This window comes from Homo sapiens, chromosome 7 (assembly GCF_000001405.40).
Source record: "Homo sapiens chromosome 7, GRCh38.p14 Primary Assembly".
Classification (NCBI taxonomy): Eukaryota; Metazoa; Chordata; class Mammalia; order Primates; family Hominidae; genus Homo; species Homo sapiens.
The window spans coordinates 125,141,463-125,167,206 of NC_000007.14; the positions used below are offsets into that span (position 1 = coordinate 125,141,463).

At 32.4% G+C, this 25,744-nt stretch overlaps 2 long non-coding RNA genes and 1 pseudogene across 3 annotated transcripts in view; 1 reads left to right on the forward strand and 2 right to left on the reverse strand.

The window, feature by feature from the left end:
- Positions 1-3,772, forward strand: part of POT1-AS1 (POT1 antisense RNA 1) — a 215,362-nt gene extending 211,590 nt beyond the window's left edge. For both annotated transcript variants that reach the window (NR_125718.1, NR_125719.1), the window contains one exon: positions 1,253-3,772. This is a non-coding gene — a long non-coding RNA (POT1 antisense RNA 1). The remainder of the gene's footprint in view (positions 1-1,252) is intronic.
- Positions 3,773-8,949: 5,177 nt separating this feature from the next.
- On the reverse strand, positions 8,950-12,152 carry LINC02830 (long intergenic non-protein coding RNA 2830). The gene is made up of 2 exons (NR_183377.1): positions 12,001-12,152; positions 8,950-10,314 (listed from the first exon to the last, which is right to left on the reverse strand). It is a non-coding gene; the product is annotated as a long intergenic non-protein coding RNA 2830 (long non-coding RNA).
- LOC100420864 (chromosome 11 open reading frame 58 pseudogene) lies at positions 18,511-19,083 on the reverse strand (annotated as a pseudogene).

Here is a 25,744-nt window from a genome sequence, read left to right on the forward strand (position 1 = left end):
TGAATGCCCATCAATCAAAGAGTGGATAAAGAAAATGGGGTATATATACACCATAGAATACTACTCAGCCGTAAAACAGAATGGTAATAGTGGCTTTTGCAGTAACTTGGATGGAGTTGGGGGTCATTATTTTAAGTGAAGTAACTCAGGAATTGAAAACCAAATATTGTATGTTTTCACTTATAAGTGGGAACTAAGCTATGAGGATGCAAAAGCATAAAAATAATATAATGGACTTTGGGGATTTGTGGGGAAGGGAAGGAGGGGAATGAGAGATAAAAGACTATATATGGGGTCTGTATATTGGGTACAGTGTATACTGCTTGTGTGATGGGTGCACCAAAATCTCAGAAATCACCACTAAAGAACTTATCCATGTAACCTAAAACCACCTGTTCCCCAAAAGCTATTGAAATAAAAAAATTTTTAAAAGATTATTTTTTAATGTTATAATAAGACAGGATTGAAAATCAAATCTATTCCTATTTTTCATCTTTTAAAATAGATGAATACATTGAGAAATGTTTTCTACATAAATTAGGAAATTTATTATACATACATCACACATTTTTCTGAATTACTTTTAAGTTGTTATTATTTTTGATGCTGTATTAGCTGATGATTCAATTATGTCTTGCATATTCGATGTAAGCAAAGAGTAGAATACAATATGACTTATAAATGACACCCTGAAAGTAGACTCAACCTCTTCCTTAATTTCTGGAAAGAATATAAAAATAATTCACCAAAAATTATTCACCATTAATTGTCATTTTACTTTTACTTTGTCATTTACAATTGTACCTTGTTTAACCTGATTTTCTCAGGAAAGGTTAGAAAAATCCAAGTATTGTTAATTTCAACATAACTTTCCTAATAAAATAGCTTTGGTAAGACTCTTTTATTTTAATGTTTTGAATGAATTATTATCAAACCTTTGGAGTTGCTGATTTTGTTTATTTAATTTATGGGAAATATTCGCCATAAATCCTCATTGGAAAAGCCACTTATCTTTGTCAAACTCATCAATCAAATCAAAATTACTTCTTCTTATAAAAATTCCAACTTCATTTCTCATTTTAAATAAACATGTTAATATATTTCCTTGTGACAATCATCTTGAGTCTGAATTCTAAGATGAATAGATGGATAAGGTCTAAACTTTGTCTTGAGTAGGTCGTACCCTAGATGAAATAAGGTTCCATTGCTTTTAACATGTCTTACCAATGTTCCTTCTGTTTTTTATTCACAGGATTGTCCCACAGGATAAATGCATGAAAAAAGTTGGAAAAGAGAAATTGAATTACATCCTAATTGTAGTGTTTTCTCAGGCAGATCAATTTTAGAAAGAGAACATTGACTTGGAAAACTGAAGAGTAATTATTCTAAAACGGTTGTAACAGTTTACTCCTTTTATGTTTGCAAACTTCCAGGATTAGTGAGTTGCATAAAGTCACATAATTTATTGCGTTGGTGCAAAAGTAATTGTGGTTTTTGCCATTAACAAAACCGCAATTACTTTTGCATCAGCCTAATATAAGTGAATAAATTAATATTAGAACACAGGTCTAATTAAAAGGTTCTGCTGTGTTGTGTCCTGTGATAACACAGAAAACAAACAAATGGATAATTACAGAAAAATTTTGGATATAAAATTAGCAGGTAATTTTCTCCCTCCTTTCCTTCCATCTTTCCATCCTTCTTTGCTTCCTTTGCTTTCTTCTTTTCCTTTGTTTTTTGTTTCTCTCTCTCTCTTTTTTTTTTTTTTTTTTTTTTTTTGCAATTTGGAGAAGGAAGTACTTTAAAAGAAAAGTTAAAAGGCAGACATAGATAGCATGAAGCCTAATTGCAAGATCTTTTTCAAACATATTAGTTTTAGGAAATAGCACCTGAATTTAAGTCCCTTAAAATTGTCTATGTCTTCACGTCCAAGTCTCTATATTTGCAGGGCTGTGTACAATCTAGACTGAACATGCTTGACCTAAAAACAGAAGTAATACCTGGGGCAAAGCACGATGTGCACCACAGTCTTCTCTCTTTAGTGTGTTAAGATAAAGTTGATTCCCAGAGTAGCCTGCCATCACTAACTCTGAGGGATGGTGGGCTAATTTTGATAGAAGGAGCAGAGGTGGTAGTTAGGAGGAAGGTGACTCATCATCATTGTATCAGCAGGCATTGATGACTGGAAATATCAGGGGGCACAGCCTGAAAGAGAATGGCTTAATTGGAATTGATAGTGGGAACTTGGAAATCAATACATATGCACTGAACAGAAAATGGTATGCTATAATCTACTATACACTGTATGTGAAACCCAAGCTCCAAATTTTTCGGCCCATGCAATGTCCAGTAAAATTTCTCTTAGTTACATTATAATTGCAATGTACATGTATTTGAGGAAAAAAAAAGTGAAAGAAAAAGTAACTAAAGAAAAGTGGAAATGCAAAACTTTGTTTTTATTAATGTTAAAATTTATTTTGATCAACTTGCTATTCTTAAAATTGACCAATCTTCTTCCCTTCCTTGCCTCTTCCATGGTTTATAGGATTATTTTTCAGGGCTGATCAGTTGGTGTTACATGTGACTACTATGCTTAATGCTATCTGGCTTCTAACTTTAAGCACTGAAAAAAAGTCCTTCGTATTTCTCAGTGTGTGATTGAACTGAGATGACCATCCTAAGCCTCCTCATTACATAAATCCTTACCTTCTCCAGAAGCAACGAATGGTGTTGAGAATAGCATATGTTACTACTCAGCCATATTCCATAGCCTTTTCTCCAAGATATTTTTCCAAAGTTGCCCCTTTTCTGAATCCCTTGCAAGCAAACAAACAACAAAACAATGGGTAATAAAATAATTGTTTAACTTTCATTTATATGCTCTGAGATTGATGTGATTTTGATAAATAACTATATTAAAAGACAAATGGGAGTGGTGATTTTGTGAAAAGCCCATGCCTCTGCCCATGGAATATGTGGCTTGGCCTGGAGCTCTTATTTTACTTATATATTTCTAAGCAGAATTATTCAAGAATGTCTCTTATTACAGGTCTTGAAACTTGGACAGCCAACAGAAAGGAAGCTAATAAATAAATTTGTCAGAACACGATTCTCAGTTTCACTTATTTTGAATTAAAGGTAACCTGGAAAATGGATTAGGAAAACAGCCTATAATCAGAGGAGTGACCCCAGTGAGACCCTGTCATTAAAACTTTAGTGTTGAGCCTGCAAACCTCTGTTCCTCTGATTAGGCAATTTACTCCATTTCCACCTTTCTGTCTGCCAAAACATTTAGTGGCAAAACATTTTCTAATTCTCTAGACTCATAAAATGTTGTTTTGAAAAAAAGTAAAACAGAATGGATTACCTTTTTAAGCTGTCTATCATAATGTAATCAGAAAACATGAGGGATTAATAGATAATATTGTAAAGAGGCAAAGGCAGCAGATGTTATTTAGATGAGCAGAAGGTCACAGACCTCTGTTGAGGATTGAAAGCTTGAGGTACGTGCCTTTGTTCCTCAGTGTGTGTGGATCAGAGTGATTACTGATATCAGTTAGCAACATGGTGGAGGGGACAAACTGGGGCTGCATTTTCACTATGTTTATTATTGCTCAAGGTCAAAAAGTGACTGTGTAGTGCCTCAGTTTTTACATCTTTGTGTTATCAATATTTTTTTCTATTACCTTACAAGTTTATTTTGATGCTGTAATGATGAGACAGTGTTTTGAAAAGTTCTAAATAAATAAAAGGGTATTCTCTAACTTTTAAATTCTGACTTTGATATTTTAAAACTATAACAGAGTTTCAAAACATATGGAGAAAAAACCCAAATAGAACTCAAAAGAGAAATGGACAAATCCGTAATTTCCATCATTATTAGGGATTTCAACATTCCTCTTCCAGTAATTAATAAAACAAGCAGACAGAAGTTTAGAAAAACTATGCAAGACTTGAACATACTGTTAACCAAATTGGCCCAGTCCTCCAATAGTGGAAATAAAATGAAATACTAAAATAGTCAAACAAAAGGAAGACAGGACAAGAGTTGAACAAGGATAAAGAATAGGTGTGACAAATGATACAAATAACAATCTGGTAAAGTGAAAACCAGCCATATCAATAATATAGTAAAGGAAAATAGTCTAAATAGAACGGAAATGTTTAAGATTTGAAGACTGGATATAAACCAAGCTTCAATGTGATGATATATACAAGACAGATATTATAAACATAAAGATATAAAAAATTAAAAATAAAAGTGTGAAAATCTATATGATACAAACACTAACCATAAGAATGCTGGAGTGGCATATTATATCAGACAAAGAGAGTATTAAAGTAGATATAGAAGAACATTACATATTGATAAAAGAAAATGCCAGTTAGGTCAAGTTATTGATGGTATTTATCAGACTTTCAATATTCTTCCAAATATATGTGTGCATATATATATATATATGCACACATATATATATACATACACATATATATATTATATATACACACACACACACACGTATTCATTTGTATCGGGTACATATACTCCTTGACTTATGATGGGATTACATCCTGACAAACCAGTAAGTCAAAAATATCATAATTTAAAATGTATTTGATATTCTGATAAATAAATTAAGTGAAAAAATCTAAGTCAAATCATCATAAGTAGGAGACCACCTATATAAATAATTTGCAATTCAATAAAGAGATAAACACCCAAATAAAATGGTGCAAGATTAGAATATGCATTTTACAAAAAAGTTACAGGAATGTCTAAAAATTACATTAAATAATGCTCAATATCATTAGTTATCAAAGAAATGTAAATTAAAATCACAACGAGTTAACGTTTCATATTCTCTGGAATAGATATAACTAAAAAAATTGACAGTGCATGTGCAGGTGAGGAGCCAGAGGAACTGAAATACCTTATATATTGCTGTTGGTGGTATAAAAACACTTTAGAAAAAAGTTTAGTAACACTTGTCAAGTTAAAAATACTGTTATCATGTGACCTAGCAATTCCTAGTTATTTGCTCAAGAGAAATGAACATATATGTTCCTAGAAGCAGGATTATTTATAACACAGTGTAGTCTCAAACTGGAACCATCAAAGTGACCATTAACAAGTGATTGAATGTATTAATTGCTTTACATTCATACAGTAGGGTACATCTCTACAATAATAACTACTGATATACTCAACAAATAGGAGGGATTTCACAGACATTGTGGTGAGTGGAAACATTCAGACACAAAAGATTGCATACTTTGTGATTTCATTTAAATGAAGTCCTTAAACTGCTGAAACTAAACTGCAGCATGTCATGTTACAAGAACTTTAGTGCCAACATGTAGAGGCTTTCCATTAGCTAAAAATGGGCATCTATCTGGGATAATATCTGCAATAGATTGCAAACATATCAAATATGTTTACATATAAGACTTTAAAATGGCAACAAAAATAATTTGTTCATAATTTGGAGAAGGCTAAGGAGCAAACTTGTGAATGCTTGTAAACAAATGAGAAAGTATCAAGCACTTATTCTGCCTTTCCTATATCATCTGTACTATATAATTACTAAGAGGCAGTTCCTTTTCACAGAAGTATTATAGCTAATACATAAAGAAAACGTGATGGAATTTGACAGTGACCACTTTGAAACCAGTACAGAAATAATACATCTTGACACTGAGCATCGGTGAGTGGTAATATCAAACACAGGCAAACAGAAGACAGCCAGATGTTATATTACTCATGGTAGATCTGTGCCCTGACATGTATGAAGTATCCTTGACACAAAAAATAATAAATCTGAATCAGTGCCACCTCTCTATCTATCAATTTACAGAAAAGATAGGTAACAGAGGACATGTTAGATGACACCAGAGGAGTGCTGTCAGAAAAATTTAAACTGTGGGAAACTACAAGAAAAATACTGTTTCTTCCATTTGTAGATTGCAAGAATAAAAGAATGGTAGAGAAAATTTATAGATTAATAGAGACTTAAGAGATATTTCTGTTATTTGCCATGTATGGCATTTAGTTGGATTATGATTTGAACAAATGCTATGTTAAAATTCTATGAGGCAATCAGAACAATCAGGAAATACGAATGCTGGGTGAATTAAAAAATGTTTGTGAATTTTTAAATTTTTCCAAGTATATTATGGTTATATTTTTAAAATGTTCTTAGTTTCTAGAAAAAATACTAAAATACTTATAGATATTATGTTATTTTATATTATGTTAGGGATTTGCTTCAGAATAATTTGGTAAGTGGTGTTCTTGTGGTGCTGGTTATAGATGAAACAAGATTGTCTATCAGCTGCCAATTATTAAATCTTGGTTAATAGGTACTTTGGGGCCTTTTATACAATTTTCTTTACTATTGTATATAATTGAAATTTTTCACAGTAAAGGGATTTAAAAAAAAGAAGTGTCACTCTATTCCTCAAGTTAGGCATGGATTTTGGTTGGCGGATCACTGAGCACCATCAAACCAAAGTGGTAGCTGGTAATAGCTTATACAACGATCTAATGCTAAGGGAATGTCCAACAGATACTTGCAGGTTTTATTCACTGCTTTCCCTTGACTTTTAAGCAACAACACATTTTGCATTACATAGTTCTTATATCCAGTTTATCATTCATAGAGATCGATCTTAATTTTTTAAAATGTGTTTTGCAGTTGTTGCTATTTCAAAGATCGCAGATGACATAAATGCCCAACTTACTTCTTCTTAGTAATCAGTCTAGTCATGAACATGGTTTCTTGAAATAAAATTTTACCCATTTTAGTAAGACATTGTGTTCATTCTGACTTAATAGCATTTTTGTCTTTATATGATCTTGAAATGTAAATGTCATCTAAGAGTTTACCCAGGCAATCTCGTTGACTACACCCTGTAAGACAACATAAGCCAAGTGAAGAAATCATTTCAGGAACATTCAAAAAGGTTAACTGTAAAGATTCAAGATGACTGAAATGCTGTATTTGGTTATTTACTTTTGGGCAGGGAGGAGGATGATGGTAGTCATGCAGGAGGTTTCAAAACTGAGACCCAGCAATGATCAGATATTTGATAAATAATTGTAGAGTGGAGGAGTTAAAATACAGGATATCTAACAGTGCAATATATTAAGGAGACAGTGAATATAAACATAAATATCTGTTGGGGTTTTATTTAGATGCTCCTCAATTGTTTCAATAAATATATTGAAATGAATGAAATTAGCATGATCATTGTGAATACTATGGTGGAGTGAAAAGTTGATTACATTTGCTTGAGGAATGGTCAGGAGTTAAGAAGGTATATTCTGAATAGACTAAAATAACCTAATGGGTCAATTTCTCAACCAAGAATATATATTTTCTATAGATATTTATTAAGTTTATTTATAAATACCTACTCCTAAATCTATTATCATTGTGAAACTTTTAAAAATTACCTCAGGCAGAACGAGTGTTTTTCCTTTGATCGCTCAAACATAATTGCTAATTGCTATTTAGCCTTATTCTATTTTGTCTTACATGCTATTTACTATCTTACCAAGCAAAGATGAATTCCTTGTATGTGTAATAGATTTCTTCAATACTGTACTAAGTGTCTGAGGAAATAAATTTAATCAAAGAAATTTCATACATGTGAAAATAACTTAAAATTTTAAGGTCTCCAGAAAGGAGATTCTACAGATTCTCTTAAAGTAAATGAAATAGCTAATGTCTGTTTATCTAGCTATCTTGTTTACACTGATGATCAATAACAGTTGGCAACTATTTAGTTTAAGAGCCTGTGAGGGAGGCTGCTAGTTGCCTACAGCCATCTATCTCTTCTTTTTCAGTAACTGAACTCCTGTGTTATTTTGGATGGCAATGTGCCCAGTAGTTAACAAGTACAGCTATAGTTTTCTCTTGCATAAATAGGGTTTGCATGGAATTTAAGTAAAATTCTGATACAGCATCTGAGAAAACTCACTTCATTCTTCCTCCTTCGTGGACTGTAGATGTGATGGTTGGAGCTCCAAATATACCTGTAAGGTAAACTTGAGGACAGAAGCCAGATGCTAAGGATGGAGGAGCAAAAAGATAGGAGACTGGATTGCAGCTTATATTGCAGAGTTACCATACCTGATCTTGACCACCTACTGCTAAATTTTGTGTATATGAGAGAAAAATGGACAGTAAGTTTAAGGCATTGTGTTGGCAGGGAGGAAGGGTTTGACTACCAGCTGAATGCAATTCCTGTATAATACTCCTCACATGTATTTTAAGATATAGTAAATCAATTATATTTTTCTTATAATGATTACTTCCAGCTCTTTAAACCTTAACTTGATGATTAATTCACTGGCGATTAGCATTTCTAGGACTATTGCAGAATCTATCCAAATTTTCCATTTTGAAGATGGCTCTATAAAAGACATAAAAATACCACGAGGCCTTCATGTAGAGGGAAGAAATGTGTAAAATTATATGATGAGAATTTCTTTCATTATTATAATATGGATATATAGTTATGTTATTTGCCATTCAGGAATACAAGAAACATTGTGTAACTCTTAAAGACTGAAAGAAAAACTAATGCAACAGTTTTGAAGATAATAACATCAAAAGTAACTATGCAATTTCTCTAAATATGCATTAAGCTTTAAAGACTGAAAATGAACGAAATGAATTTGGCTCCTGGTTGCAAATCTCATATATATATATATATATATATATATATATATATATTTTTTTTTTTTTTTTTTTTTTTTTTTTTTCCAAATTGGAGTCAGATGTTTCTAAATATCTCATGGAATATTCCCAAAGATTTTACATGTGTAGTTTTTTGTTGTAATTTGAAGTTAGTTAGATTTTTTTCTAATATTGGATGCAATTAAACTACATTCTGGGCATACATAATTCAGATTTTAAGAAAATTAATTCTGTTTAGCCAGTCTATAGATTAGTTGGCATTTAATACATTTTATAAAATAATCTGTTACAGTTTATGCAAAGCATAAAAGAGTAAATACAATGCAGATAAGGGAGTTAGGGAAAGAAACATTTCTATGCACTTGAGATGATAAAAAATAAATTTAGAAAAGAATCAGCTTCATCAGTAATGCCTGTTTAAAATGATTTGCTTTTTAAGGTCCGAAGTTCACTATAAAGGGTCTTTGAAGAGGCAATAAAATCTGTTATTGATTTTCATATTTTTAACAAAGATGACATGGTTCTATTAGTGGTCATGCTTTTCGATTTGTGTGTTTAAACATACTTTAACCCCCTATTTAATGTAAGTCTCTTAGGCTTCATTTTTTCCACTTGCAAAGTAGTTCTCAGAACAATCCTTCTGAACCTGCCTCAGCAACGATTCTGAGAGTATTTGGTTTTTCTCTGGTAGGTAGTTTTGGTGATTTTGCTACTTAAATGAAAATATCTTTTATTTTCCTAAAAATATTGGTCTAAAGTCTTTGGACTGGAAGGAGTGGATAAAATGAGAATTGAAGTTGACAGCTGTTGACCTAAGGGGATTCATGACTGTCTGCAAACTACAGGAAGGAGTCCTCCTACAGAACAAATATAGATGAACTTAATGTTTTCTTGCAGTTTGTGTTTTGTTTCCAGTCTTCAAAGTTGGAAAAGTTTTGTGTTTTCCAATAGCAAAGAATTGGCCTACAAAATCTATGAATCATAAGTTAAAGTACATAGTTGTAGTGTTTCATTTTATTTTGAGTGTTGTGCATTTTATAACACAGGTTATTTACTCCAAACTTATCTGCTCAAGTTCCTCAAGTATTGTGCCATGACTTACACATTTACCAGGGTAAAATAGGACAAATTTGAATATCAACATTTATTTTAAGGCACCAACATTTATTTCCTCAATTATTGTGCCGTGACTTGCACATTTACCACAAGGAAGGGCATGTAGTAGCTGAAGCAAACTTCCTCAGCTTTCAGGTAGTAATCTTCCAACTACTGTTGGCAGCAATGCAGATTGTCAAATGCACACCTAAACTTAAAATTTGGGGATAATTCAGAAAGAATTCCGAGATGTTTATCCTAAAGATTATGTGTTAGTTACACTTAAATAGAGGCAAATTAAGCTTGAAAGTAATCATTAAACATAAAATAGTTCCTGGGATCTGCTACACTTAATTAAATCAAATTTATTTTTCTCCAGTTCTGTATCAGGTAGCGGGGGGAAAGTGAGGAATTCTGGATTTGGAGCTTGAGGTCCGGGATTCAAGTTCCAACTTTGCAGCTTATTACCTCCACCACTTTTTGAGGTACTGCTATGTCTCAGCATAATTCTTATCTGAAAGAGAACAATTGAGTAATTGTATAAATGGCACACTTTCTATGTTCTCATTGTTCAAAAGACCACAGTATTTTGCTTGTATATTGCTATGGACATTACTATGGATCAATATTAAGTTTGATGTAACATTAACCTTAACATTTCAAATCGCTTTCTGAGTTACACTTTAAGCCTTGGCTCTAGATGCATTATTGTGAAGTAATATCTATGTGCTAATTTTCTCATTAATTAGTATGCCCTTGGCATATGGCACCGTATGCTGCAAACTTCCAAAAAAATTACCATAGCATAACTTTATTACTGCAAATCATAACATTGGCAATAAATGATTTAGTAAGCATAGTGATATTTAACAGAACCTTCAAACAATTATTATAGCATATTTAGTATGCACTTCATCAAAGCCTTGTGTGTAGTCTCAACGACAGTAACCAATATAGTTATATAAAAAAAATACTAACGCCATGACAAATATGGTCAATAATTGCTGTACATATGTACTCTCCATGTGGTATTTAAGAACTGTTTGTATTACTGTTTTTATGTAGTCTGGTTAAAATGATGCCCTCTAAAATATAATATCACCCTCAATCATAGAAAGAAATAAAATACACATTTCTGAAAAGGTTTAATTACAATTTTATGCATATCCTAGAATTAATATCTATGTAAACATATTTTATTAAAAACACATTTGGATATTAATTTCTTTCTTGAAATACTCATTAGACTTTTTCTACAAATATATGCTTCCATACTCCTGTAGGGGACTGCCACTTTTTATTGTTGTTTTTTAGACATAGGTGTATTCTGTTAAAATTAATTGGATATGGTTTCTAATTAGCAAATTGAAAAGTGTGAAGAGAGAAGAGTAAATGATGGCATTATATCACTAACCACCTGATATGGTTGGGATGTTTGTCTTCTCCAAATCTCATGTTTAAATGTGATTCCTAATGTTGGAGGTGGGGCCTGGTGGGAGGTGATTGGATTAAAGGAGCAGATCTCTCATGAATGAAAGCAGATCTCTCATGAATGAAAGCAGATCTCTCATGAATAAGAACAGATTTCTCATGAATGCACCATCTCTTTGGTGATAAGTGAATTCTTGCACACTTAGTTGATATGAGATCTGTTTAAAAGAGTCTGGGACCTCCCCTGTGTTTCTTGTCCTCTCTTTGGTCATGTGATGGCACCTACTTTCTTTCACCTTCCACCAAGAGTAAAAGTTCCCCAAGGGCTCACCAGAAGCCAAGCAGAAGCTGGTGCCATGCTTCCTGTATAGCCTGCAGAATGTGAGCCAGTTAAACCTCTTTTATTTATAAATTATCCAGTCTCAGATATTTATAGCAACTCTAAAAATGACCTAATACTCTACCATCCACCATCTTTTCAACTGGTAAGTTCTTTCAGTTTATCGCTTCAGCGACATGAGCCTGTTCCCCAGGTGTAGTCACTTACATGCCTCCTGTGTGTCTATATATTATAATTTATCCATCTTTTAATATTTTGTTAGGGTAAACCATTCTTCCCTTGTGTGTTTCTATATCCTGGGGGGAGGGGAACTCTCTGTCCATCAACTTTTAAATGAAAAAATTTTAAAATAAAGCCAAGGATGCTTTTAAAAGAATATAACTTTTTTAAAAAACAGAAGGAAACGATCTTAGGAATAATAAAATGTACCTGGTTAATTTTACTCTTGACAGAAATAAAATCCAGTGAGATTCAACAAATTGTCAAGTTACACACTTCTGAATGACAGATTTGGGACCAGAAGCTAGACCTCAGGTATCTGATGGTGTTCTTTGAATTGTGTCCAAGTATTCTTGTTCCCTAAGGAGAGGTATGGAACAAATCAAGGTGATAGGCATGAATATTTATTATTACCAGAGAGTAAGGGATCCAAAGGTTCTGAGGTGTTATCTCTTTTTGAAACTTACTGCCTATTATTGAAACTCATCTTTTGAATAAGGTATGAGAATGACAATATATTCTCCCTTAATTTTGGGCCCCTTTTCAATAAATTAAGTGTTTAGTGTTCTCTGCTACAGACTGATTTGGTAGAAAACATAAAGGTTGTGTGTAATATCAACCAACATCCTATCAGTTATGTTTATGTAAATTTATATGACTAAATTTATATTAAAAATTTAAAAGCTAAAAATAGGATCACCTTAAAATAGGACAAATTTGAATACCAACATTTATTTTTACTAAATGATAATTGGCACAATGACAGACAAATAATCTAATGACAGACAAATAGTCTAATAGACTACAGGAATAGGTGTACACATGTACAATGACTGTTAATTTATAATAAAGATGTAGCTGCAAATAGTAAGACAAGAGTGGTTTTTCTCAGTGAATAATGCTGGGTCTAATGTACATACAAAAACAGAGGAAAATCATCAATCAGTACTTGACACCCTAGATAAATTTCAATTCCAGGTTAATTCTGTGTCTAAATATAAATGATAAATAATAAGGCTTCTTAAAGGTAATAACATAATTTTTAATGAAAGATTATAATATAGGACATAAACAGTACTAACAAAAATATTAGTAATGCTTTCATTAAAATTAAGAATTCTAATTTATCAAAAGACACTATTATTAAGAGAGGGAAAAGTCAAATCTTTGAGTAGGTGAATATATTTGTAATATATATAATGTTTAAAAGTTTCATGTTCAATATACATAAAGATCTCCTCCAAACGAATAAAAATGAGACAGATGGTCCAATAGAAAAATATATGAGAGAACTGAGCAAGCTCTTCACACAAGAGGATCTCCAAATGGCCAATAAATATATTAGAAGGTGCTCAGCCTCATTCCACAACAAATAAATGAAATCTTATTACAACAGCCTGCAATCAACCATAATGACTGAAATTAAAAATACGAATAATACCAAGTGCTCGCAGTGATGTAGAACAATCCTATTTCTGATGAGACAATAAATTGTTAACTCTTTTTTGAAAACTACTACACAGTGTCTTCTAAAGCTTAACACACATACACTCTATAACCTAAGGATTCCATTCCAAAGTATATTCCCAACAAACGTGTACATATGTGCACCAAAGGACATGCACAAAAATGTCAGAGAAGCATTATTTTTTCTACATTTTTATTGTGGTGAAATAACATAGCATTAAATTTACCATGATAACCATTTTTAAATGTATAATTAAAAGTAGGAGCTATATTTACATTGTTGAACAACTGATCTCTAGAAATTTTTCATCTGAAACTCTATACGTAACACTAACTTCCTCTCTTCCATATGTCCCTCCCCCAGCCTTGGCAACTACCTTTCTGCTTTCTATTTCTATGCTTTTGACTAATTCAAATACTTTGTAGGAGTAGAACCATATAGTATTTGTCATTTTGTGACTAGCTTAATTTGCTTAGCATAATGTGCTTAAGTTTGGTCCTGTTGTGGCATGTGATAGGATTTCTTTTCTTTAGAAGGCCAAATAATCTATTGTGTGAATATATCACATTTTCTTTGTCTATTCATCTGTTGATGGACATTTGATTTCCTTCCACCTCTTGCCCATTGTAAATAATGACTCTATGAATATGGGTGTGCAATTATATCTTGGAGATCCTGCTTTGAATTCTTTTGGTAAATACCCAGAAGTGGTATTGCCAGATCGCATGGAATTTCTATACTATTTTTTATAGTGACAAAACCATTTTCCATTCCCACCAATAGTGCACAAGGGTTTCAACTTCTCCACATGCTTGCCAACACTTATTTTCTTTTTTGTTGTTGTTGATAGCGGCCATCCTGATAGATGTGACATTATAATCTCATTGTTGTTTTGATTTGTGTTTCTCCCACCATTAGTAATGTTAAACATCTTTATGTTTATTAACTATTTGTATATCTTTTGGATATTGCCTATTCACATTCTTTGCTCATTTTTAATCAACTTTACTTCTGTTGTTCCTGAGTTGCAGAAGTTCCTTATAAATTCTGGATACTAATCTGTTATCAGATATGATTAGCAAATATTTTTTCTTTGCAGGTTGCCTTTTTACTCTGTTGACTGTTTATTTTGATGTACAGAAGTTTTTGAGTTTGATATGTTCTTGTTTGTCTATGTTTGCTAAGAGCAGCATTATTTTCACTAGCCCCAAAGTGAAAACCTCCAAAATAACAAGAAATATGAAATAACTGCTGGTAAATCAGTAGCATAAATCAATTCTGCAAACATATATTGAGTGAAAGAAACCAGACAAAAATGTATATTTATGCTTCATTGATTTAAAGTTCCAAAGTAGGAAAAATTAATCATGGCTATTATAATTCACAGAGAAAATACCTTTGGTGATAAAGGAAGGGTCGCTATTATAAAAGAGCATGAGAGAGGCTTCTGGTGTGGTTGCAATACTAGCTATTTTTCTTGAATTTGGTGCTAATCATCTTTGTATACTTATTTTGTGATAACTATTTGAACTCTGCACATATGAATTGAACATATTCTGTGTATATGATACTGTTCACTGAAAAATATGAAAAATAAAGCTTATCAAGGAATGAAAAGTTGAGTAATATAGCCCATAGCCTGCTCATAAACTCTGAAGCTCTAGTCCTTTCCTTGTTTTATACAATTTTCAATTCAGACAAACTTTGATTTCTCTGTATCTATTTTTACAACCACACCTTAAAAAAATTAATCCTATTGCTGATATCTACTACCATCAGCCAAGTCATGGTATCACAGATATTTGTAGCACATTGAAGAAAGAAAAATTTTAAGCATTCCTGGAAAACGTTTTGTTTAGCTGCATTTACGTCACTTGGAGAATATAATAATTTCTTTACTCAATTACCTACACAGATAATTTAAGGCTTAGAATGCAATTAAATCAGCTTGCTAGACATTTAACCACAGGAATACAATATACCTGGAGATTTAAAAGTGAGTTGAGAGCCTTCTTTGCAGCCTTATTTCTAAAAGCTTCATTAATTTTAAGCCTCATTCTGGTGAGTTTGGCTATCTAGTTTATATTGGGAAAGTAGATGAAGGAAATAACTTTTATTTACTCTGATCCATCTATATCTGAAATGGAATTATGATAATATTATTTAGTATTTTTTATATTAAGCACCTGGAAATGATTTCTCTGAAGCAGTACCCAGGCAAAAATCAAGCAGATGATATTTTTTAGAAATGTTCTATCTCAAATAACCCAAATGAACATAAGTTTATTTAAGGAGCCTAAAGACAACATTTAGGTCATCACAAATATATGAATAAACTATGAACACCTAAAGCAACTATTTCTAAGTAAAATAAGTTATATATGGGTATAAATACTAATGATATGAATGGAGATTTTAAATTTTACTTTGATGAGTTCAAAGTAAATGGTACTATTCAACTTCTTTCAATTGTTCATGTTTGCTTCTATAGGTGATATTTATATTTGCTATTTTTGTGGCAAGTATTAGAAATAATTATGAACTTAATATAGTTTGTACAGTCCCATATTGTGTTGCCTCATATTTCACTCGAGCTCATTTCACCTGCTAATACATGCTTTATATTTTTCTACATTTCTATGTTTTTTACTGCAAAAATAACATTTTTGAACAGATAAATATAATGACATACAATCAAGGTAGTGTTTAACAACCCATATGTTGATGCTGTATTAGAAACATCTTTTTTTAGAAGTGAGAAGCAATATAATTTTCTTAATAAAAAGTTACAACTGGCTGGATAGGTATCATTGTAAATGTCTGAGGATATGGTATTTAACAAATTCTTGAATATAGCATTTAAGAATTTTATTAAATAACATGTATGTTGGTATTGGTATGTGATACACTTTTAAATAAAATATACCTAGATTATTGTGTAAAATCATTTTTTATGAGGTCTTAGGACTGTAAATGCATTTAATGATGCTACACTCTATTATTTTACTGAAATAACAGATTTTTAAAACTCATTCATCTATCATATTGCCAACTGTAAAGTACTTGAAAGACAATGACTAAGACAAAGTAAGATATATATCAAAGGCAAATTCAATCAGTCTCCTCCGACTGCAATGCTAATAATATAGCTTTAGATCAGTGTTTGATTATCTTAGTAAGATTATGGATAGGCTCTGTGACTTTAACGTACTCCTCATATTACCTGGAGGGATTTTAATTATTGCATAGGTTAAAATATAATTTTCAAAAGCAGCAAAATCAAGTCCTTCAGGCAAATATAAAATAAACGTGTCAAATATTTTATTTAACTCATTTATTAGTAAAGAAACCTGTAAGATGTTACGACTGGTTCAAAGAACACTTAAGAAGTTAGGTTATTTGTAGTCAATTTATCAAAGAAAATTTAGTATAAGATTGCTGAGTTGGATATAAAACTCTTTAATTTTCAGTAGTTTATGAATTTTGGGGGTTATCTGTCCTAGCAGACAAATTGTTTCCACGTTTATTGGACAAATTCTGCAAATTAACAAGTAAATAAATCTGTGACCTTTAACAGTAAAATGAACCAGGTACATTCTCCTGGACAATCCTTGTGTAGCTTTTACCTCTATATAAAACTGAAAGGATGCGTGATCCATATTATTTTCCTTATTATTAAGTTTTGGACGTTTTTTTCTTTTATAAAATAGATATGCAACTTATCTTCATACAATATAGAATTTAAAATTGACAAATAGAGTTTTCCTCACTTAAGACTATTTGGGCAGAAGGGGTAAAATTATTCCCTAATTCAAGGGCCAGGCTACCGGTTATTAAATACCAAGAAGGAAGAGATGTAGTTTTAAGAGGTGCAGAGAACTGTGGGCATTTATACTTCAAGTGATGCGATGAAATTGACTGTAACTAATAGAGTGTGAAATAGTCTCCCAAAGAACATAATGAAGTCCTAAAGAAAACAGTTGAAAGCAGGAGTGGATGGAGGCCTTGAAAATACAAGCAAAGAAAATCGCTGCATTCGAAGTTGATTTTTAAGTTGTTAGAAAGTGTTGCTGCATCTAATTTTGTTATTTTTATTCATGACTGGCCATGTGTCATCTTAGTGCTGATTTTCCTAATTTATATGTACTCCAGAAAACAAAATGGAATCAAAGAATCCATTGCTTATTGGATTCTGTAAATACCAAAAAATTACAGCAAATATTTGCTACTTAGATAGAGTGTTGTCTGGAGACATGCATTATGGGGAAAGTTGCTAAGCTGATTTCTTTAACTGATCTCAGCACTGATTTGGGGCATAATTGATATTTTAGTCATGTGTCTTGTTAAACATGCTAGATGGCATAATAGTCTTGTGCTGCAGACAATTACTCCTGAGGGTCTTTACTAAGAACCTAAACTACTTCAGAAACCAACAGAATTAGATATAAATGAGTTTCTGTTATAAACAATATATCTTATGTTAATGGAAATAAACTCAGCACATTTTAATAAATATAGTGATAATAAATAGCAAGACATTCCTAGGAGCTTAAATAAAAAACAGTAAATTTTATATTAGAGGTAGACTTATTTATATTTATGATTAGCATTTCAGCAATATTTCCCTAAAAATGATTTCTGTCATACATCAGTGTTTTTTAAAAAATAAATTTCATCATCAAGCTATTTTTTCATCTTAAAATCTATTTTTTTGTATTATACTTGTTTATCTCCCAAGCATGCATTTAATGTATATTAGCTACAATTTTTTAGAACTATTTAAAACATGAATAGTTGAAGGTGAATAAATCATTAATTGTATTAATGTTTCTGTGGTCAGTAAATTTCCCCAGTTTATATTTAATTCTATTGGACCAGTGATGTTGCAATTCTGTAGTAACTTCAAGAACGTTGGTCTTGTTTCCATGTTTGATTTAGCAATTAAGCTTAACTTGATTAATATGACTATATATGTGTAGTCTTTTAAATTTATGTGGGATTGAAGTGCATTTTTTGGAAGTTGAGTTTTGTATTTACTTCTTATTTTATATAACTATTACTCTTTATAATAATGGTGATAGTCTTGCTCATAAAATTTTAATCCTTGGCATCTGAAAGCAAACATACTTTGTAATTATTTTAAAAGGCCCTTCTAACATTATAACACAAAGGCCTGTGCCTATAAGCAGTGCTCCACTGTGCAGTATAACATTAAGGCTAATTTTGAATACAAAGCGTTATGAGTGGAGTCATGAACCACTGGATTTAATACACATCATTTTATAATTTTTTTGGCAACTTTTTTGTTTTGAGAATCCTCTGTTTCCTCGGGGTGCTCAGCAGCTTGGAGTCCTGCAACAGATTCTTCTTTTCCTGAATAAGTCATTTTCAGAGTCATCTGGATTTTTAGAATCAGATGAATCCTCACATTATCATAATCATCATCTTCATCATCATCATCATCTTCATCATGGTCAGCAGCAGCAGCCTCTCCAGCTACATCACCTTCTTCATCATGATGTACTTCACTAAAGCCAAGTTCACAGTGTCATCTGTCCCTTCCTGAAAATTGACTATTGACACCTGGCTGATATTGAAACTCCAGTTCCTCATCAATTTTCTTGTCTTCTTCCCCTTTTCAGAAGTAAGATATTGATTTTTGATCTCCTGTAACAAGACGGCCAGTTTGTTCTTTCTTTTCTACACCCATGTCTAAAGAATGTTTACTTTCTTTCTTCATTACCTAAGTTTGCTAATTACAAATTGCTAGGTCCAAGATTGTTGTCTGTGAAGACTGAACACTTCACCCTGTGAGGATAGGACTCCCATGGTGGTGCTCATCATTTTGGGATCTGGAAGGAAAACGCTAAACCTACTTGTGGTTCTTAGCAGTGTTGCCAGCAGCCTGCCATCTGCCAGGGCTGAAGTAGCCCACTCGAGAATGCTCTTCACAATTCATTCATTTTTAAGGGGTTATAAAAAAAAATCATGTAAAGGAAAAGGAAACACTTCTGTTAGGGGCAAACTCTCTAATTTAATAATAATATTAATTAGTCAAGGCATATGAAAGCATTGTTTAGAAATATTTTACCATATAAGAAGGATCAACCATAAAAAATATTTCTTCTCTTATAAAAAGGATGTTATTTAAATATATAGCTATAATTTCATAATTTTGCATTCAATTGTGATGCAGATATTTATATTTCATTAGTCTACACTAACAGACATTTTATACATGTTCATTTTTTATTAAAGTATGAAATACAATGTTAAACGTATGAAACACATAGGTGTTTTATTCACATTTAAATGTTTTTCTATTTTAGCATACTTTTAACTTACTACAGGTAATTAATCATAAAATATAGCTAAGCAGTTTCCAAAATTTGTAATTATCACTAGAGGACATATGACTAATTTGAGATGACTCACCAGAGAGATGAATAAATTAAGTCTGTCATAATGTTATATATCTATTAAAATGTTTTTAAAAATTCACTGCATACACATTTTAACTAATTTTCAATTATTAATAATAGCCATTAAAATGTTAAAAAGTTTATAAATATCTAAGGGACCTCATTTAAGTTATAAATTAATTGTGAAAGATTGTCTTAAAAAAATGAATGTAATGAAAGTAGCCTCTGAATTGTAATACTTAAAATAAGACATTGGAATAGCCAATTATTTTTATATCTATTTGCAAATTAAAAGTTATAATGCAAAAACAAATCTGGGTTGGGTACAGTGGCTCACGCCTGTAATTCTAGCACTTTGGGAGGCTGAGGTGGGCAGATCACGAGGTCAGGAATTTGAGACCAGCCTGGCCAATATGGTGAAACTCCATCTCTACTAAAAATATAAAAAATCAGCCAGGTGTGGTGGTGCACATCTGTAGTCCCAGCTACTCGGGAGGCTGAAGCAGGAGAATTGCTTGAACCCAGGAGGCAAATGTTGCAGGAGTTGAGATCATGCCACTGCACTCCAGCCTGGGCGACAGAGCAAGACTCTGTTTCAAAAATAATAATAATAATAATAATAATAATAATAATAATCTGTCAAATAATTATCAAGCAGATTCTAATGGTTGGGGATGATGTTAAAATCAGAGCTTCACTAGAAAATTATATAAAGCAGACACTCCTTTCTAGGAACAATTGTATTAGTTATAGGTCTGTACTTCATGGGTGGCCATCATTAATTAATAACTGAAGACATGCTATTTGAAAATTGATTTTACTATAACAGAGAATGAGAATGGTTTTTTTTAATTAATATTTTTTCTGTAATGAGAACATTCTATGTGTTTCAACATTGGTGAAATAGTCCAGTGTGATTAAGGATACAACTATTGTCTATGATTGATTTTGTATGTAGGGTTTCAAAATGGAATTCAGAAAACACAGTCATTTTATAAACATTTACCTAGCATCTAACATGTGCACTGTATAGCGCTCTGTACCACAAGAACTAAAAATAAATACAAGGTTTTATCTTTATATAAAATGTATTCAGCACATGTATAAATGAAACAGCTAGAAGTTCTATACAAACGATAAAATAAGTAGATTCATAATGTATTATTAGAATAAAATTGTGAATGTGTAGTTTGAGAATAAAGTTATATTTAATCATATTCTCTGATTATCCATGTTTTTAAAAGATTTAACAATCTTCTGAATATCTTGGTATTATAGGATGTATCAATCTACGGCACACAGATATTTACATTTAAAAGGGTGAAGCTGTTATAATTTTTATCGGCCTAGATGTCATCTTGGTGCATTAAGCCTCAGCATGCTAAAGTTTTAATTCTGAGGATTAGTACCACCAATGAATGTGCCTGAAAGCATTTGTATTTCCTTAACCTGAAGAAAATAAAGTTTCTTTTAACTTCCAAGAAATTTCAGACTCTTCAAAGAAGCAGGATTCACGATTAAAAAAAGGAGGGGAGGGGGGAATTATTTTAAAAAGGGGGGAGGGGGAGGGGGGAAGTTCTGTAATGAAAGGAGATCAACTTAAAATTGCACAAGACCTTTTTAATTAATTAATTTATTTATTTATTCATGATGAAGTCTCACTCTGTCTCCCAGGCTGGAGTGCAGTGGCGCGATCTCGGCTCACTGCAACATCCATCTCCCAGGTTCAAGTGATTCTCCTGCCTCAGCCTCCCTAGTAGCTGGGACTACCGGCGCACGCCACCACACCTGGTTAATTTTTGTATTTTTAGTAGAGACGCTGTTTCACCATGTTGTCCAGGCTGGTCTCAAACTCCTGACCTCAAGTGATCTGCCTGCCTCGTCCTCCCAAAGTGCTGGGATAACAGGCATGAACATATTATGTAACTGCATGTTCTGTATTCACTGGTATAATATTGAGGTGCTCTCACTTTTTTTAAAGACCACCATTGTTCTCTGATCACTTTAATAACTTTCTTACTCATTTTCCTTCTTCTTAAGTTCAGCTTCTATTGTCCATACAGCAGCCAGAATGATCTTTCTGAAACAATGCATGCCATGTAGACTTCTCTCATTAGAGTCTTTTAATAGCTTCACATTGCACCAAGAATAAAACCAGAAATAGTTGTCCTGGCCTCCCAAACTCTGCATAATCTCTTCACATTCAGCTTTCCATAGCAGTCTCCCTCATGCTCACTGTGCTCCAGACACAATGGCCATCTACTGTCTGTGAGATGCATAAGCCCTTTCCCATCTCAGCGTCTTGTTTCCACCTCCAGTTCTGTTTCCCTTTCAGAGTGGCTTCTCCTTATCATTCGGACTCCTTGCAAATATCATCTATTCAAAGAGATCTTCTCTGATCCTCTAGCCAAAATTGAGTTCTATCAGTTACTCTCTGTCATCTCACTTCGCCTTATTTCTTTATTACAACTTTTTACAACCTATAGTTATATTGTTGATATCTACCGTCTATTTTCTTGCTTATTGTCCATATCCCACAGCAGGATGTAAGTTTCATGAGTTCAGACATGCTCTCTCTCTTTTGCTATAATCCCATTCCACTAACTGTGGAAGGGAAGGTGCAAAATGTTTGTCCTTAGAGATAAAGAAAAGAAAGGAAGGGAAGAAGGAAAGAAATACTCGGCAGGAGAAAAAATAGCTCTTACTTCTGTTAGCTTTACTACTTTTCTTACAGATCAAGTTCAATAAATCAGATCTTTTGTTGAGTCAGGCTGAGCACTGTAAAATATTTTTTATTTAGTGGTACTTTTGGAGCCAAATTATTTCTTCATTCTGAATTTTTAATATTAATATTCTGAACATTAATAAATAATTTGCCTTTAGCAGCAACAAGTTAGCTCTAGAGGAAAAAAATCAGAACAGTGGCTGAATCTGCTTCATTTTTAAATGTGAATCAACAAATTTAAATATTCACAAATAAAGCTTTTAGAAATAACTTTTACAGACAAACACAGTGTGTGACTATTAAAGTAAATGCTATAGGACTGACAGAAGTGGAGGTCAACAGACTCAGAAAGAGTTAGGGTATGCCTTCAGAATGAGGTGGGACCAGGAATCTTTGGTTATGTTAACTAGTAATGAATCTCAGAAATTTTGTGACCCTCATTCTCCATAAAACAGATCAAACCAGCTAAATTATTTTTTTCATTCTCTAATCTGCTAATATAGCGTACTTATTTTTAAAATAGATAATATTAGCAGCACATCCCGATAAAGAGAAATATATGTTAGTTTTTTTTCCCTACTTGTGCTTCTCCTACCAGGACCTTTTTCTCTACATATGGATTTATGCCCTGAGATGAATGCAGATGTATGCAACATTGGGCACTTGTTTTTATCCTGGGTTCCTACGCACAGGCAACAAAGTTCCTTCAATTTCATTGTGAATATTAATTTAAAGATGGAGGATCTAGTGTCCTGGATCACCTCTTCTTTCCATACCAAATAACTTGCACATGCGAGGGAGATCATGGCAGGCATCACCTTTCCTAAGACATTTAAGGTTTACTTCAGACTCGTACATAGAAAATCACACACGTCTATTACATGGTTGATAATTCACTTTTGAAAAAAATTTCATTTAAAAATCATTTGAACACTGGATTTGTGTAGTCTAGTTTTGAAACAATACATAAATTTGCCATCTCTTCTTGTGCCCCTATCTAGGTCTTTATGCTACTCTGTTTAAAAAGTGACTCAGTTGAAATCAAACATAATTTTCATCTTTAGTATATTAAGTATTAAAACGCTCAATACATCTCCTCCAAAAACAGCAAACTTCTTAGAAAAGCATTAAACATGTTTGGAACTGATAGAAAATACAGAAGAACAGTAGTTCTCTGCTGTTTTTGAACTTTTCTGCTCTTTAAGAACTTTTGCCTGGGGTGAAGCTATTTGGTGGTATTTGAAGAAATTTACCAGTAATACATAACTTCTAAACTTCTAAAGCAAAGACATCAGTGGGAAGAATAGTAGAAGCAATGCAATTTTATAATTGGAGGATTTTAAAAAATATATCTGAGTTCTAGAGTTAAGTTCTAATTGTAAGAAACAGTGAATTATTTGGAAAAACTTGGCTAGCAGGTTGCCTATGAATTTATCATTAAGAGGACAGCATCATGGCACCATATTTTAAGCACAGTAGCAAGTGTCAGCTTGTTGATATCCAAAAGTGTAGTTGATATTTTTTTCAATCAGTTATGCCATCATAACTAGGTGAAATTATCAGAGCACTGGCTCAGGAATAAAAATATTTAACTCTGGCACAAACTGGCTGTGCATCTTTAGTCTAACCAAATCAACTTTCTGTGCCTCAGTTTTTAATCTGCAAAATAAAAGGGTTGGAGTTTATGACCTCTGAAGAATTCTCTTTCAGCTTTAAAAATGGGATATTTCATTAATCTATTGCTACTCTTATGGAATAGCCTTTAACTCAAGAGATAAATATTGATGCATTTAGGATGATTCAGGCAAATTATGTCTATATCTGTTTATCTGTCTATCTATCTATCTATCTATCTATCTATCATCTATCTATCTGTCTATTTAAAGCAGAGACTACCTCCTTACTGTATAGAGTCAGGATGAGTAAATTATCTATATGTTATATTAGTGCCATAGCAAGTACAGCAGTCTGATGAATATGCAGTGTATGTGAATATTACTAGAACAGTTGCTTAACTTAAAAACTTCCGTAACACTCTGCTTTCTACTCCGCCAGTGTATTAGTTTATTCTTTTAGTACAAAGTCAACTTTTTGTTTATATTTTCAACTCAAGCTACTCTGGCAAGTTCAATTCCCATATTAGGTGCCCCTTTGTCTTTTATACTCACCTCTAGCTTCTTAATATTTCCAATTATAATTTATTTCTAAAATATATCTCTCAGAAGTTCTAAAGATTTCTGGTTTTTGCCTTTGTGAGGTTTTAGGAAAAGACTGTTTTTCCCTCTGGCTTAATTCTACTTGGAAAAAACATCCTTAGAGACACTTTTAACTGCATATTTTTATGAAGTCTCTTTGAAAGTTTGTTGTTGGTGAGATTGATAGTTATAGATTATAAATGTTTGATTGCAAAAGTTCTGTATTTTTAAAATGGAACAATTCACAATTATCAAGTATGCAATTATAACTACCTAAAACAAACTTTCAGAGGCAGTTTCTGGTATCTTATTATAATAAAATTATTAGCATTTTGACTTCTTGAAGGAATTTTATATACTCAAGAAGAACCTGGGTTGGTTCTAGAGACAGAGAGCTATCTTACAACACAGGAAAACATAACATGCTCTGAGTATGGCTAGCTAAGGAGTACTACTTAACATGTCGACTTTTCTGCAGTGAGGTTTTGTATTTAAGTAGAAACTGGTAAGTCAAGAATATTTCAAAAACTGAAGGAGATTAAATAAATTATAACCAATACCAGGTTACATATTGGCTCAAAAATCCTAATTTTCTGTATTTAGCATTTTGAGAGGATTATTGTCAGCCAAGGTCTAAACAGATCATTGGAGTAAAGATGATGATATAGATGATGATTCTTTTAAAGAACTGGAGCAAAATTTCAACACTGGAGTATTCCACATTGGAGAAAGAAGAATAATAAAATATATACCATCTAAAAGTATATGTTAAAAATAATCTATGTTGGAGGTACAATTGCAGAATCAGAGGACTAAGTTGTTATGAGCATAGGTTGGTAATGTTGGGAATGACCTACATAGGTGCAAAATTTTATGAGCATAAGGAGATTTCTGAAGTTGCCTAAAGCCTCCTCGGAGGTAATAGAGATAAAGAGGCACTGGAGCTGGTGCCCTCCCTTAGTCATAGACTAAGGACCAATCTGGCATGGTTTCTGAAATCTCTGAATTGTGTGAGGTCATAAAGACCAAGGTAGGTGGTCCAGGGGACAATATCTTCTAACACATTATCTTGTTTGACTTTATATTCAACAGTGACATTTGCAGGCAAGTTTTATTAGTTGAGTTTTACCTATAAAGCTATCCA